The 15524-nt window shown below is 35.8% G+C and overlaps 1 protein-coding gene across 6 annotated transcripts in view; it reads right to left on the bottom strand.

The window, feature by feature from the left end:
* The window catches only part of SOX6 (SRY-box transcription factor 6), a 772029-nt gene that overhangs the window by 17449 nt on the left and 739056 nt on the right, over positions 1-15524 (bottom strand). For 5 of the 6 annotated variants that reach the window (NM_001367872.1, NM_001145811.2, NM_001145819.2 and 2 more), the window contains 2 exons: positions 5100-5333; positions 2307-2523 (listed from right to left, as the gene is read on the bottom strand). In NM_001367872.1, coding sequence (NP_001354801.1) covers positions 2307-2523; positions 5100-5333 — 451 coding nt within the window. The remainder of the gene's footprint in view (positions 1-2306; positions 2524-5099; positions 5334-15524) is intronic. The other variant, NM_033326.3, reaches the window with a different exon arrangement.

A 15524-nucleotide genomic window follows, 5' to 3' on the forward strand; every position in this document is an offset into this window, starting at 1 on the left:
ATTTTCTCCAAGTGCTAAGAGCTCTTGCTCAGATGGCATAGCCACACTCATGACTGCCAGCATAGGGCTATGAGGCATATTTTGAGACAAAGTAGTAAAGACAGTTCCTCAGTCATTTGGCATGATGGGGGCCAATACCTGAATTTGAACCTTTGCTCTTTATCACCTTTCTGTAGCCATAGAAACTCTCTAAAACTCAACTTCTTTATCTTATTTAGAGAATTATGTGACTTATATATCTAAAATCCTAGTATACACTAGATAGTCAATAAATAATAGATGTTATTAAATTGTTTTAGTTTTTTATTTTTACATGCATTGGTACATGTTGTGGTATTTTGATCTAGAGCTGTTTTAATGTACCCTTTAGTAAAGGGAACTAAATTCAATAGTATTACTGCAACTCATATTTTCAAATAAGTATTACACCAAGGTATTAAAACAGCACCTTTAGTAGCCTTCCAGACTGGCGGAACAGCCCCACTATGTATCACTACATACACAGGGAACATGACTGAGGGAGGGCAGGAATCACAAGAGGTCCCAAACTTAAACTTTGGATTGTTCAAAAGAGATTATACACAATCTTAGAGGTGTACTAACGGGATTAAAAGAGAATGTTTATCACATAATCTTAAAGTGGACTATGAATTAGTATTTTTCATAAATCCTCTAATTATCAGCTGAATAGCCCAATTATACCACATTGCCCTTTTTAGCGTTAAACGCATTACCTTTAAAAATGCAAACATTTATAATACAGAGGAATTTGATAATCCTATTTTGTCATGTCTTCATTTATTAACATACTGGGATCTTTTATAATAAAGTGGCTTAAGCTTCTCTCTACCTCTAAAAGGTTCTGCCATGGTATAAAGAAATTCACTGATCATCTGGTGTGATATAAAATATGGTTTTCTGTGATAGGAAATACATATTAAATAGTAATGATAATGCTAGAGTTCACCTTTATTGATATCGTATTAAGCACTATATAAAGTACTTTTAAAAGCGTTGCCTCATTGGATCTTCTCAACAATCATACAAGATAGTTTCCACTATTCATTTCATTTTACACATGAGAAAACAAAAGTTAGAGAAGTTTAATAACTTGCCCAGGTAGGTGGCACAGTCAGTATGTGAACCCCAGAAGTCAAACTCCAAAGCCCACGCTCCTCCCGAAAACACTGCAGTGTATTGCACAGATTCATGACCCAGACTACGTTCATTGGCTTTGTTTTCTTACTCTATTTACTATTCCTTTTAAACACATGCTCTGAAAACAACTTTTTGTTCCACAGGGTTACCTCTTGAGTGCCCTTAAAAGTGAATAGCTCTTGGCTTCTCCTTTAAGGTACCTCTTTTTCTACCTTCAAGTGAAGCTCTCTTAGTTTCCTGGCACAGCACAGCTCCTCAATTCTCCTCCAACTTCACAGCAAATGCAACTTCCCTCTTGCTTACTCTGCTTCTCTCTCTCAAGCTCTTTCCCAAGTGTTTCCCTACTCTGAGTCCAGCTGCTTCAGGTCTGTGCCTCAAATGGCCCTCTGGATTTGCCACCCTGCTGTGCTTCTAGGTCTGGGTATGCTGGAATCTACAGTCATCTGCATCCCCACTTATCCTGACTACTGTGGTTATGAGGGGCCTCTTTTGAATGCAGACAGCCAGTCAGCCAAGTTGAAATTTATACCAGAAATCTATTACCTAATTTTTAAACAAAATGACATGAAATCAGACTTGAAGATATCAAAAGCATGTCTAGTTTCTGATTTAAGCAAGAAAATACACATTGTTACTGCTCCCACCACAGAATAATTTACTGCAACAGGAGTTCTGGATCTTATGCCAAAAATGAGGTCCTCTAACCAATGTCGAGGCCAATTATCTTGTGGTAGATCCCACAACAAAAGCAGACTATTGTGATTAGAGTCAGAAGCACCACCCAGAGAAGCTGGAAAGCTTATGGGGATTTCTTAAGGTTAGTTTTTATTTTTCCTCCCTGTGTATCTGCTTAAATAAACTACCAGAAACTCTGTGTGTGGCCACTGAGCATCTTAAATTGGCTTGGGAGACAATGACAGGGGTGATCAGCTGGGAGTGAACTGTTCCAGGTTTGGCTTGATTTGAGCAAAAGCCATGGTGCAAGGCAGTGCCCCTATGACACAGCAAAGATTCTCATGGCCAAGCCCCTTCAGTATGCCACAACCTCCTCTTTCCCTAATCTCCTTCCCAAACATACTGCCAGTAGCCATCCTATAGTTACTTACCGCAAAAGTAAAGCCCAGGTGGCTAAATTCAGGAATACTTACCCCACAGTAAAGAACTGCCTCATCTCCTGTCTCCGAGACCTCATCAGTTGCTTATACTCCCCAATCCGAAGCTTTTTGCCATCAACAATGCAGGTGCGTTTCGGTCGGGGTTTGTATTTATAGTTTGGGTACTTCTCTAAGTGGATCTTGCTTAGCCGGGCCTGCTCTTCATAATAAGGTTGCTTCTCCTGGTTGGACATTGATTTCCAGCGAGATCCTAGAAATAAAAATAGCCTTAAGTACCCAAGTGGTCAAGGCAACATATTCTAGGCAAACACAACTAGATATACCTTCCCATCACTTCACTCATCTGTGCGCTGGGTGGCTCCAATTCCCACATACCACTGGCTGTCCCAACTATACTTTTAGTCTATAACACAAAGAACAATTTTGCGTATGATACTTTCTTGTGTTATTTATCTCAATAGTTTAAGACTGATGCTACTATAGTATTTTAAAATATATCTTTGCTGCTTAAAGATCATTGCCTACACCAAGGTCTTTCCCCATCCACCTGCCTACCCTCTCAACAGGGATAAAAGGCTAAACCTCCTAAGCATACTTTTGAGCATGACAGGATTCTCAGGAAAAGCTTTGTTTGTCCTAGAAATTCAAACATCTCCCAAACTCCAAGTATCTTTAGTGAAACTATCCTTTGACAAGATGTCAGCAGATGTTGAAATCATTCCATATATAAAAAACTACTGTGCACAAGTCTGCCATGGCCTAGGTAATTAAAAAACCTAAGCTCTACCTAAGAAGTTATAGCTTTAGAACCGGAAGATACCATTGGAATTATATATACCATTTTCAAGTACTATAAACGCTCATTCAAAGCTGTACCAATAAAAGTACAAAAATTTTAATACGGTTTATACAGGAAGAAGGATAAGTATTCACTTCTCTAATATTGTTTATAAAGAATTATCTAAACACTTGATGAAGAGGGGATGTGTTTTTTTACATGTATCAAATTGCATTTTTGTGTCTCGCTGGTGAATAAAGCGGTAACAGCTGTGCAGACTGGATGTTAGCGATTCTTCAGTGGAGATTTTTCATACATAAACAAATGGAAAAGTTGTACAAATATTCTCTGCAGCCAGCAATATCCTAGTCTGCTTTAATAGCACATGCATCCCTGCTCTTTCCTGATTGTTGTTCAAAAGTTGTGTAGAAGGCCTAAGCAGATAGGCTTCTCTGTGTTCTGCTGGTTTCCAGCAGCTTAAAGCCCCAATTAACGAAGAATTCTTGGTGCTCTTGAAACGCTTGCACTTAAAACTTTACATTTTAATGAATATACTTACTATATTCCTAATAATTTTTTCACAGAATGCACACAAATAATATAGATTCCCCACAGCTGCCAAAATGGAAACAGAGAGGCTCTGTGCCCATCTGAAGGCTTACTCATATTGCTACTAAAAGGGCAGAAAAATATGAAAATCTTCAAGTTAGATATAAAACTGTAAGGCCAGAGAAGCACTGATTTTTTTTTTTTTTAGAATGTCATTTAACTAGAAAAAAAAAAATGTATGTCCACTAGGAACATTTTGGTTTGAAAGATATTTAAATTCAAAATAACATCCCTATGCATAACTCTGAAGCTCTAAAAATAAAAACCACACTTAATTGTAATGACATTTAGTATCCATTTTGAAATTAGAAAATCAAAAAAAAAAGAAAAACATATTTAACATTTCACCACTATTTGATCTTATGTATGTTTTAAATTTTTCTTAGAGGTCACTGCCTCAAAATGCCTCAGAATCAAGTTAAATTATTTATACAGTGACAAAACATGTGTATCTGTGCATGTCCAGATCACTGATATTTACTCAGGTTAAATATTTATTACTTTTGAACAAAACATTTAAAAAATTAAAACCACAGTTTAAGTCTCTAATGTTTTTCAGCTTCTTAAATGGCTTCCTTTGAGATTTTGTCACATCGTGACAGCTTTAAGTAGAGCAGTGCCTTCTGTGTTTTTCCTTTTTAAAGAGGAAACATGTTGACTGTAATGCTGCATGTTGAATAAAATATGTTTAACATGTTGAGCACAATAATTCCAAGCTGTACAATCCACACTAGGCAAGCTCTACACTAATAGAACAAGGCTTGAGTTTAATCCTGAGAAATAGAGAATCACTCTGGCAATTTACCACAAACTGGGCCTCTCCCCTGCAGCTCGTGTGTTCAGCTCACTGCTATGAAATTTGAACTAGTCATATCTTATTAAAATAATTGTAGATTTATTTTACAAGTTTTAAAGTGATCATCAGAGGCACTGTTTTGCACTCCATGAATTTCATACCATTTTGGGTTTCTAGTCCTTGATGAATTCTTTCAGTGGGACATATAAACCCAAGAACACTAAAGCAGAAAACTGTAGGGTCTATGAGTACTTCATAGCAACATATGAATTTAAGAGAACTGCACAGTAAAAGGAGATAAAGCTTGTCTCCACGATTCTTGTTTAGCAGTGACCTCTCAAGAGTTGCTAAATTCACAGTATTAACACATACTATAAATAGTTTTGTCTCTGAAATAAGTGTTCAGACAGTCCTGCCCTGGCACCTGGTGGATATAATAACTCCCAAACCTACATGCCACATTATGGGGTGGGGGAGGCAGACGTGATGACGAAGGCTCCTGCGGCAGCTGGCTGACCTTCGTCTAACTTGCGCCCGCCACAATCTCCCTTAGGATCCTAGTTATCCCCTTGCTTCCCACCCTGGTGGCACTCATGGGATTTGCAGGGGAGAAGATCAGCTTTAGCTGCACTGCTGCACTCACCTAAGATTTTGCTAATGTTGGAGTTATGCATGTCGGGGAAGGCCTGAAGGATTTTTCTCCTCTCATCCTTTGCCCAAACCATGAATGCATTCATTGGTCGCTTAATGTGTGGCTCGCTGCTGGCACGGCCGCGGGCGTCCCTGTAGACTCGTGCTTCAGCCACAGTGGCACCTCCTGTTGGCCAACAATAATACTGCTGTAGTTTAGCTGCAGAGCCATTCATTGCTTTACTTCCTGTAATGTCAGGGCAGGAAGAACAAGATGAGTGGAAAGCGTTATTTTGTGGATAATGTCACACAGCTTGCCGCCTGGGTCAGCTGTTTTCCCCAGGTCCTCCTCTTCTTTTCTAAGTGACTTCTTGGAAGTAGAAGGCAGGTTCAAATGACAGTTCTACAGGCTCTTCTGATGTAGCCCTCAAAGACACACTAAGAATTAATTTTGTGTGTGTTTTATACACCCTACCACATTTACTACAATAAATGGTAGGTGATCACAGAGCAATGAATGACATTACCTTATGGTAAACTTTCCTGCTGTAATTCCTTTCTTCAAAAACATGCTCTTACTGGTCATTTTAGACTCATTTGCCCCAGATCACAACCACTCTATATGTTTCCCAAAAATAGAATTGTTTTTCACAATATTGTCTTGACCTGTGCTCTTCTCACTGCCTAGAAGACACTTCTCCTACTCTTTCATGCTAAATCCCATTCAACCTTCAATCATGTTTCATGATTGAATGAATTAATTCAATGAAAAATATTTATTGAGCAATTACTATAACCTAGGTTTTATGCCAGGTGCTAAGGAGACCATGGTAAATAAAACAGCTCCTGCTTTTAAGGAGCTCACAGTTCAGAGTAAGGACAGACAATTATAACAAAGTGGGTGAGAGGTGCTACAATACTGACATTAACAGGGCACCAAAAAAGCACCAGATAGAATGGTCAGCTAGTGCTTCCTAGGAGATGTGATGTCTAAACCGAGTCTTCAAGGATGAATAGGAATCAACAAGTGAGTGGGAGAGGGAGTAAAGTCTGATGGGAAGGGTAATTCAGGGTAAAGGAACAGCACTTGCAGTGATGCTCCCCAGGCTGCACTCAGTCCTCTTGCTTTCAGGAGACATGCCCCATAGTAATTATTGTTTATGTGACTATCTCCCTCCTTTCCACTCCTCTCAGGAATACGAGATACCTAAAGTTAATGATTATGCTGTACTTATTCTTGTATCCTCAGGATTTTTCACATAATAGATAATAAAATATTCATTAAGCAAAGATTATTTGGTTTTCAACTCATATGCAAAAGTCATAGACTAAGAGGCATTTATTTCAAGCGTCCTGTTCTATTTTTCTGTTGTTTAAGGGTAGTTCTTTAACATCTATGAAACTATGCCTAAATTCCTGATGCTATATAATTTCCAAAGAGCTGACTCTAGTAACATACTAGATTGAAAGCTCCCTGAAGATAGGGCAAGGGATGGGTCTTATTCACTGCTGTATTCCTAGGATTCAATAAAGTACTTGGCACATAGGATTTCAATTAGTAAAATATGTTATATTAATGCATGAATGAATAAATAAATGAATGAATGAACATAGTTCTTACTTGTTTTCATGCACCCTATACCAGGGCGATATACTGATGTATACTTTGTGATGTGGCAACTCCTGAATATCTCCTACAGACTGAGAACTTCTATAATTAAAGGTAAAGTGGTCAGACTGATAGCCTCAGACAAGGCTTCTACCGCATAACAGGAAAGTCTACGCCCAGAAGTTTAGAAGCAAAATATACATTAAAACCAACATTTCTATTTTCTGGAAAAAGTAAATCCTTTCTGCTCAGTGAAGTTATTATACAGGACCAACATGATTCAATCAATCTCTGGCCCTTCCTCTCTATTTTTAGATACCTTGGTTAAGTAGACATTTGTTTGTGTCAAAGCCAGTAATAAATTACAACATTATAGTGCACTATTATTTAGCAAATATGGTTATCATTTACTGCAAACAAAAGACAGTATAAAAGGGTGGGATTGGCTAACATGAATTTTTTTCTAAACAGGAAGGAGGGCAGAAAGGCTACTTTCTGAAGATTATACAAAAATAACATATTTTATAAACAGCCCTTCTTTTAGGCCTACTAGACAGAATGATCCTTTACATGAAAAGTCTTAGATCCCAAGATGCATAACTAATATGATACCTTTTTGCCACGATACCCACAGTACATTAATTTCATTTAAAATGCACTGACCATACAGGATAAATTGATTTCACTTTATATGGGTTTGACAGCCATGTTTATTGCGCAGTGAAATGTAGTGTAGCTTCCAGCTGACAATATCCATCAACACAGGGCAATATGCTGACTGCTGGGCCAGATGAAGGCATACATTACTCTGGAAGTGAAACACTCATTCAGATACGACAGTGTCTTCTCCTGAGGATCACCATGGTAATTTATGATGCCCTCAGTGCCATTACTTTACAACTGACATGGATTCAGCAATTTATATACTGACATGCATTCACATAAAAGGAGACAGGTTTGTGGAGAATGTCAGATGCAAAAACATTTCAATATTATTCTAAGTTAACTGCTATGCCACAGGTGATTAACATTTGAGCCTGCTTTTACTGTTGTAGCTTTCTCTCCACCTCTAGCAAAACCAAATAGTCAGCTTCCATTTATTTCTTCATTTAAAATATGTATTTCATCGTAAATGGGAAGTTTTACTGTCTCAAAGACTGACAGAGATCATAGTGGATTTTTAGATGCTGGCTTTGGTATAAACATTCTAGATTCTCTACTCCATACCAATAGAGTCTCCCAGATATGCCATACATATGCCCAATCTCTCTCCCACACATGCTGTACCACAGTCTTCACATATCCTTCCTACTCTCTTCTACTTTACCAGTTTCTACCTTTTTCTGAGGAACAGAGCTCAAGTCTGACCTCTACCCTGCACTGACCTTTTCCTTTCCTCCTACATCACATATTATCTTCAGGAGCTGAAGGACAAGGAATTGATTTCACAGCAATTCTCTGGGACTCACATGTAATGCTTCCAGAAGTTGCAAAATTCGAGCACAGTGCACAGAACAAAAACATGAATTAAGAAGGAGAAGAATAGAAAATGCTTTAGATCATGTGCACATTGCTTTTTTCTGGTCACCTCTTCTGTCTTCCAGAAGGAGTGAACTAGAAATGAATGGGGACATCCTAAGCTAAACTAGAAATGTTGTATCAGATGAACCAAGATTTGGGAAGAAGAGATTTACCCAGGGAGGCCAACATTTGAAACTACTTTTAAATTGAATCTGATACCTGATCAACTACAACAGCGACGTTTAACACCACACAGATTGCAATGCCCAGATCCCTTTGCAAAATCAAAACTTGGAAAATGTTTTCCTGTTTTTCCTTCTACCACTCTTCCTATTTTTGCCCCCTTCCTGTCCTATCTCCCAAATATGTAGTACTCTAACACTATCTTATGACTATGCAAATTATGCCCAGGAGGTCACTCTCCTTAATTAGAAAGTCAATGAAAACAACAACAACAAACCAAATTTGCATATAAAAATGGTCTCACCTTTGCTTTCACCACCACCACTAACATCCTAGAAAGGGAGTCTATCCTTCCCTAGATTTATAATATCTGAATTAACACCTGGGTAATGTACAGAAAATACAGTAATATAAACCACAAATGCCCCACAAATACATATTGAAGGTTTCTGCTTTTCTGTCTTTTCGAAGTGACTATGCCATATAAGGCTTATATGGAACTCACTGAAGCATCCATATGAGTACTATGCAGAAAGATAGATGTTTTCAACAAATATTTCTTCAATATTCTGATAGAAAACATCTCCCAATATTACTTTTTTTTTCATTTAAAGCTGACAACTTATCTATTACCTGAATTTACAATCTAAGTTTGAATTAAACTTAGATTCAGAATTTTAAGAAAGTATTAGAGGCCACAAAGTCAAAAGAACATTTAGAAAGTGTCCCTAAACTTTGCTTCTGAAACAAAATGGTTAAAGAATTGTTGCCGCAGTAGAAATACATATGATTATGTGTGTGTGTATAAATTCAGAAATTTAAAAATGGAAATTATATATCTGGAAAACCCTTATAAATAGATAAGAAAAATTTTACAGCATACTATAAATTGTTTTCAAAAGGTATACTATTAATCTGTGTATCTGAAGTCTAAAATTCACTTTGTTATAATTAATTTTAAAAATCAGCATATTGTATGATTTCATTCTGCTCCATTCATCATTAAGTGCAAAAAACCAAGTATTTCATTCTTAAATAGCCAGTAGTCTGCATCAGAATCCAGAACTTGGAATGGCTCATAATTCTATGAGGCAGCTTCTTCTCCTTTTAACAGCAGAGGGGTCATTTGTGAGTTCAGCGTATGATTTTTCATGGAAAGCAGTTAGAAGCCTAGACCCACAGTTATGTACCTGGAGACGGCTTTCCAGCTGACCTAAGAGTCTTTAATTACCAGCAACAGCAGTCCCAAATGACAGTTGCTGAAAGGCCAAGAGATCAACAGCACCACAGTAGGCTTCAAGGGAAAGCAAGGTCCCGTATGCCAGGAGAGGCTGCTCTGTACAACTTCCCCTAGAAGGCTCAAATTGGTTAATTCATCCTTCATCTCAGTTTGTGTAAAGGCAAACTTTCGGTTAGATTAAAGATAGTTAATCTGCAGAGAGAAAATAGAAATTGCCAAGGCAAATATCTCCTTAGAAATCTGTGATTTGAATGATTTAAAGAGAAGACGAAATTGAGTTTTTCCAGGTGGGTTGGAAAGAAGGCCAGTTTCACCATCATAGCCTCTGGCAATGGTCCTGAACTAATCCTGGAGAGGCCCCTTCGTGGTTAAATTCCAAGGGATATCAGAGTGAATGAGTGAGTGCCTGGTGCACATATAAAGTTATTCCTCAGGGGAATTCTAGTTAATTCTATAATGTGCCTAGTAATAATTTATTTATGTATTAATTCAATAAACACTTCTGACACATTTCATATGTACCCAGCATTGTGATGGGGTATACAAAGATAAATAACATGTGCACTTTGTTTTTAAGGAATTTGGTCCAATGGGAGAAGACACATAAATTAAAAATTACAAACGATGCTAACAGCGGTAATTTAAAAATACTATTAGAGCAGGGAAAATAAGCTACTAACACAATTGGAGTGGACAGAGATGAATATTAGGGAGGCTTCAGAGTTGAAGCGGTGCTTGAGCAGCATCTTAAAGGAGAAGTAATAATTTACCAGCAGGTATGAATGTGAAACTATTTTGGGCTTGGAAATCAGTGTGAGGAAAGGCACAGGGTTATAAAAAAAAAAAGCAAAGGACATTTTAGGGAATAAAAAGAAGCTGGCGATGGCTTGGGTTTATGTAAAAAAAAAAAAAAAGGGGAGTATAAGAGATGAAATTAGAAAAGTAAATAGGGACCAAATTTGCTAAGCACCTTGAATGCCAAGCTAAGAAGTCTTTTGAGGTTTTTAACCAGAAGAGTAACATGAAAAAATATGTTCTAGAAGAGATCAAAATGGAAAACTAAATGAGAAATTACCACTGAATAGTCTCAATGATTACCAGTGAATTGATAATAAAGAATAGAATAGAGGAAAAATAAAGTGACTACCTCTTCAAGGGCCCATTAAAACTTACATTTTGTCAGATAGAATTAATGTGATACATGCAAAATATTGGCGCAAAAGGTTCTATTATAAAATCAAATTCTGGTAATGGCAGAATAGCTCATATCAGCCCTGTCCTCCAATAGATAATAAATATAAACTCTGAACAAAATATGAAAAAAACCCATAGATGTTGAAGATTCCTGAGAGCTACCAAAATTAAACAGAAACTGGAGTGGATTCCATCCTAGAATGAAAGGCATTTTACTAAATGAAATTCTGTTTTCATAGTTTTTCCCATGAAGACGCTTTCTGGTCTTCATAGCATGGAGTGGCTAGAATGCAAATAGAAAGTCAGTTTAATTGGCTTAATGTGTCAGAAGACAGAGTTTGAACTTACAGGTGGCTGCTGACCCCTGAACTTGCCATGTATTTGGAAGACTCAAATGAACCCATGAAAAACAGAGCTGTGTATCTGGAAAATCTGAAAAGAGATTTCAGCTGATGCCCTTTGCAAGAGAAACAGAATTTGAATTGGAATCCTATCAAGTTAGAAAGAATTCATAAACACCTTGGGCTTTCCACTGAAACTCCAGAGGAGCAACTCCTTAGGAATAAATTCAATATGCCAGGACTAAGGATTTGCCCTAAGACTAAAAACAAAATTAAAAAAGACTCTCCCTAACAGTGCAAAAACTAAGTTTCCACAAGTTCAACGTGTGCAGCAGGTAATTTAACTGCTTCCTGCCCCCAAAGTTAAAAATTTTCAGAGGAAGATAATAGAATACAGAGTATCTACAATGGATAATCCACAACATACAATATATAATTAAAAAGTATGAGTTGTACAAACAACCAGGAAAATGTGACTCAGAGATCAAAAAATAAAAATAAAGGAAGAAAAACACTGGCTGAAAATTACCTGAATTTGGTGAGAAACATCAACTAAGAGGTTTGAGACATTCAGGGAAATGCAGGCCAAATAAATACAACAAAACCACACCTAGAAACTAGTTAAACTTCTGAAAACCAAAGACAAAGAGAAAATTCCAGAGAAAAGGGACATATTACTTACGGGGAAACAAAATTACAAATAAGGGCTGATTATTCACTAGAAACAATGAAGACTAGTAGACTATGCAACATCTTTATAATGCTATAAAAGGAAATAAATTCAGAGTTTTATCCAGTGAACATATGCTTCAAAAATGAATATGAAATATACTCTCAAATGATTAAAAGCTAAAAGCATGAGTTACCAGCAGACAAACACCAAAAGAGATATTCAAGGAAATTATTCAAGAGGAAAAGAAATAACACTCAATAAAAACCAGATATACAGAAAGAAAGGAAGAATATCAAAAATGATTTGTGACCATTTTTTCTTCTCTGGATTTCACTAATAAACAGCTAATTGTCTAATGTTTTTAAAAGACAAGGAACTATTTAATACAAAATATAACATCGTATTGTGGGACTTATAACATATAAAAAGGTGAAATATGGAACAACAATAGCATATTACCACAAAAGATGAGGGTATAAATAGAATTAGATTGTTAAAGGTCGTAATATTTTACGTGAAGTGGTAAAATTTTAACTGTAAGGATACTCAATTAAGGTTTCATAGTGAATCCTTAGAAAAACCAATTTAAAAAAATACAAAGAGGCCAGGCAAGGTAGCTTATGCCTGCAATTTCAGCACTTTGGGAGGCAGAGGTGGGAGGATCTCTTGAGGTCAGGAGTTCAAGACCAGCCTGGGCAACATACTGAGACTCTGTCTCTACAAAAGGTTAAAAAATTAGCTAGGTGTGGCGGCATGCACCTGTAGTTCCAGCTACTCAGGAGGCTGAGGTGGGAGGATTGCTTGAGCCCAGGAGGTTGAGGATGGGCCACTGCACTCCAGCCTGGGTGATGGAACAAGACCTTGACTCAAAACAAAAAACAAACAAACAAAAGTAAAAAATACAAAGAAGTATAGCTAAAAATCTACCAGAGTACTTCAAACAAAAGACTTAAAAAGGGATTCAATTAACACAAAGGAAAGCAGAGAGGAGAAATAGAAGACAAAAAACTGAGGGAACAAATACAAGTAGTGAAAAAAATACTGAAGTGTAAGACCTAAGCCCAACAGATTTAATAATTATATTAAACAGAAATAAATCAAATTATCTAATTAAAAGTTAGTGATTTCTCTGAATGGATGAAGAGTAAGAATCAATGAAACAGAAAACAGATATAATAAAGACAACTTACAAAGCCAAGGTTAGAAATTTGAAAAGTACAATAAAATTAATAAATCCTAAGTAAGATGGGTCAACAGACAAAGAGAGAAGACAAAAATGCCAGTATTTGGACTGAAAGAGGAGATTTCACTGTAGATACTACCCATATTACAAAGATAAAAAGGGAATATTATAAATAACTTAATTTCAATAAATTTGACAACTTAGATAAAATGAACATATTTGTTGAAAGACACAAACTACCAAAATTCACTCAAGAATAAATAAAAAATCTGAATACACTGATAGCTAATAAATCAATTGAATTTATAACGAAGAACTTATCCACAAAGAAAATTGAAGCCCCGAATGGTTTCACTGGTAAATTCTTTCAAACATTTAAGGAAAATAAGAATAATATTGCGTAAAGGTATGAAAGTAGAGGAAGAAGGAACACTTCTTAATTAAGTTTATGAGGCAGCATACCTTGACAGAGGTTTGAGTGTAAGTGCAAAATTTTAAAATAAAATGTTAACAAATTGAATCCAGCCAAATGTAAAAAATAGATAATACATCATGACCAAGTAGAACTTATCTCAGGAATGTAAAATTGGTTTAACATTTGAAAATCAGACAATGTAGCTCATTACATTAACAGAACAAAGGGAATGAAAACACATGATAATCACAATAGATTCAGAAAATGGTTTTAACAACATTCAATACTCAATCATGTTAGAAATGCTCAGGAAATTAGTATTAAAAGGAAACTTTCCCAGTCTGATAAAGGGCATTTAAGAAAAACCTACAGGTAACATCATACTTAATAGTGAACTACCGAATGCTTTCTCTAAAAATGAAGAACAAGGCGAAGATGTCCACTCTCACCATTGTTAATCAACAATTAAAAAACTAAAAAGCTCACACTTTATATTTCGGGAGGCTGAGGTGGGCGGATCACGAGGTCAGGAGTTCAAGACCAGCCTGACCAATATGGTGAAACCCTGCTCTACTAAAAATACAAAAATTAGCCAGGCATGGTGGCGTGTGCCTGTAATCCCAGCTACTCAGGAGGCTGAGGCAGGAGAATGTCTTGAACCCGGGAGGCAGAGGCTGCAGTGAGCTGAGATCATGCCACTGCACTCCAGCCTGGGCAATAGAGCAAGACTCCATCTCAAAAAAATAAAATAAAATAAATAAAATAAAATAAAATAAAAAATAAAAAGCATACAAATTATAAAGGAATAAATAATGTCATCTGTTCATATATAATTGTTTACATAAAAAATCCTAAGGGATTTACAAAATACTAGAACTAATAAGTGAATTAACAGTATTGCAATGAACAATAAAAAATACCAAAATCAATCATATTTCTTTATACTAGCAACAAACAATTAAAAAATAATATTCAAATATATATTTATAATAGCATCAGATAATAAAATACTTGGGAATAAATTTAACTGAAAAAAGTATTCAACACATCTACACTAAAAACAAAACAACATTTGTAACTTAAAGACCTAAATAAATGGAGGAATATACCATGTTCCTGAATCAGAAGACTCAATATTGTTACAATGTGATTGTTCCCAAATTTACCTACAGATTCAACCAAATTCCAATAAAAATTCCTCAAAGTTTTTTCATATAAGGTGACAAACTGACTTTAAAATTTATATGAAAAATAAAGCAGTAGGACAAACTAAAACAAACTTGAAGAAAATTAGAGGATTCAAACTACCTTAATGAAAACTAAGGCTGTTAAAGTGGAAAACGATAGTTTTTTCAACAAATACCGCCAGAACAAGTTGATAGACACATTGGAAAAAAATCCTGCATCTTGTATCACACATTATATACAACAATTAGAGATGAATCATGACTTAAATCAAGAAAGAAAAAACTATAACACTCCTCTAAATATACATAAGACAATATTTTAGTGACTTTAAAGTAAAATGACTCTTAGATACAACATATAAATTACTAAATATACAAGAAAAATGTTAAACTGAACTTTATAAAAATTAAAACTCTGCTTATCAAAAGTCATTGTTAAGAAAATAAAATGTCAAAGCACATACTGGAAAAAATATTTGGAACACACATATCTGATAAGAACTTGCATCTAGGATATATAAAGAATGACCAAAAAAATCTAATTTTAAAATGGACAATAGACTTAAATGAACATTTTACAAAAAAGGATATAGTTATGGCCAATAAGCAGATGAAAAGGTATTCCCTATTATTAATCATCAGGAAAATGCAAATTGAAACCACAATGAGATGCATTTCACTGGAATGGCTTAAGTGCTAAATGTTGGCAAGGATAAGGAGCAACTCTAATATACTGTAACTCTAATATACTGGTAGTGAAAGTATAAAACAGCATAACCATTTTCTGGCAATTTCTTCTAATTAAAATGCATATTTACTTATGACCCAGCAAACAAATTAAAGCTTCTGTCAAAAACAGACTTATATAAGAATATGATAGCAGTTTTATCAA

Source organism: Homo sapiens, chromosome 11 (assembly GCF_000001405.40).
Source record: "Homo sapiens chromosome 11, GRCh38.p14 Primary Assembly".
NCBI lineage: Eukaryota > Metazoa > Chordata > Mammalia > Primates > Hominidae > Homo > Homo sapiens.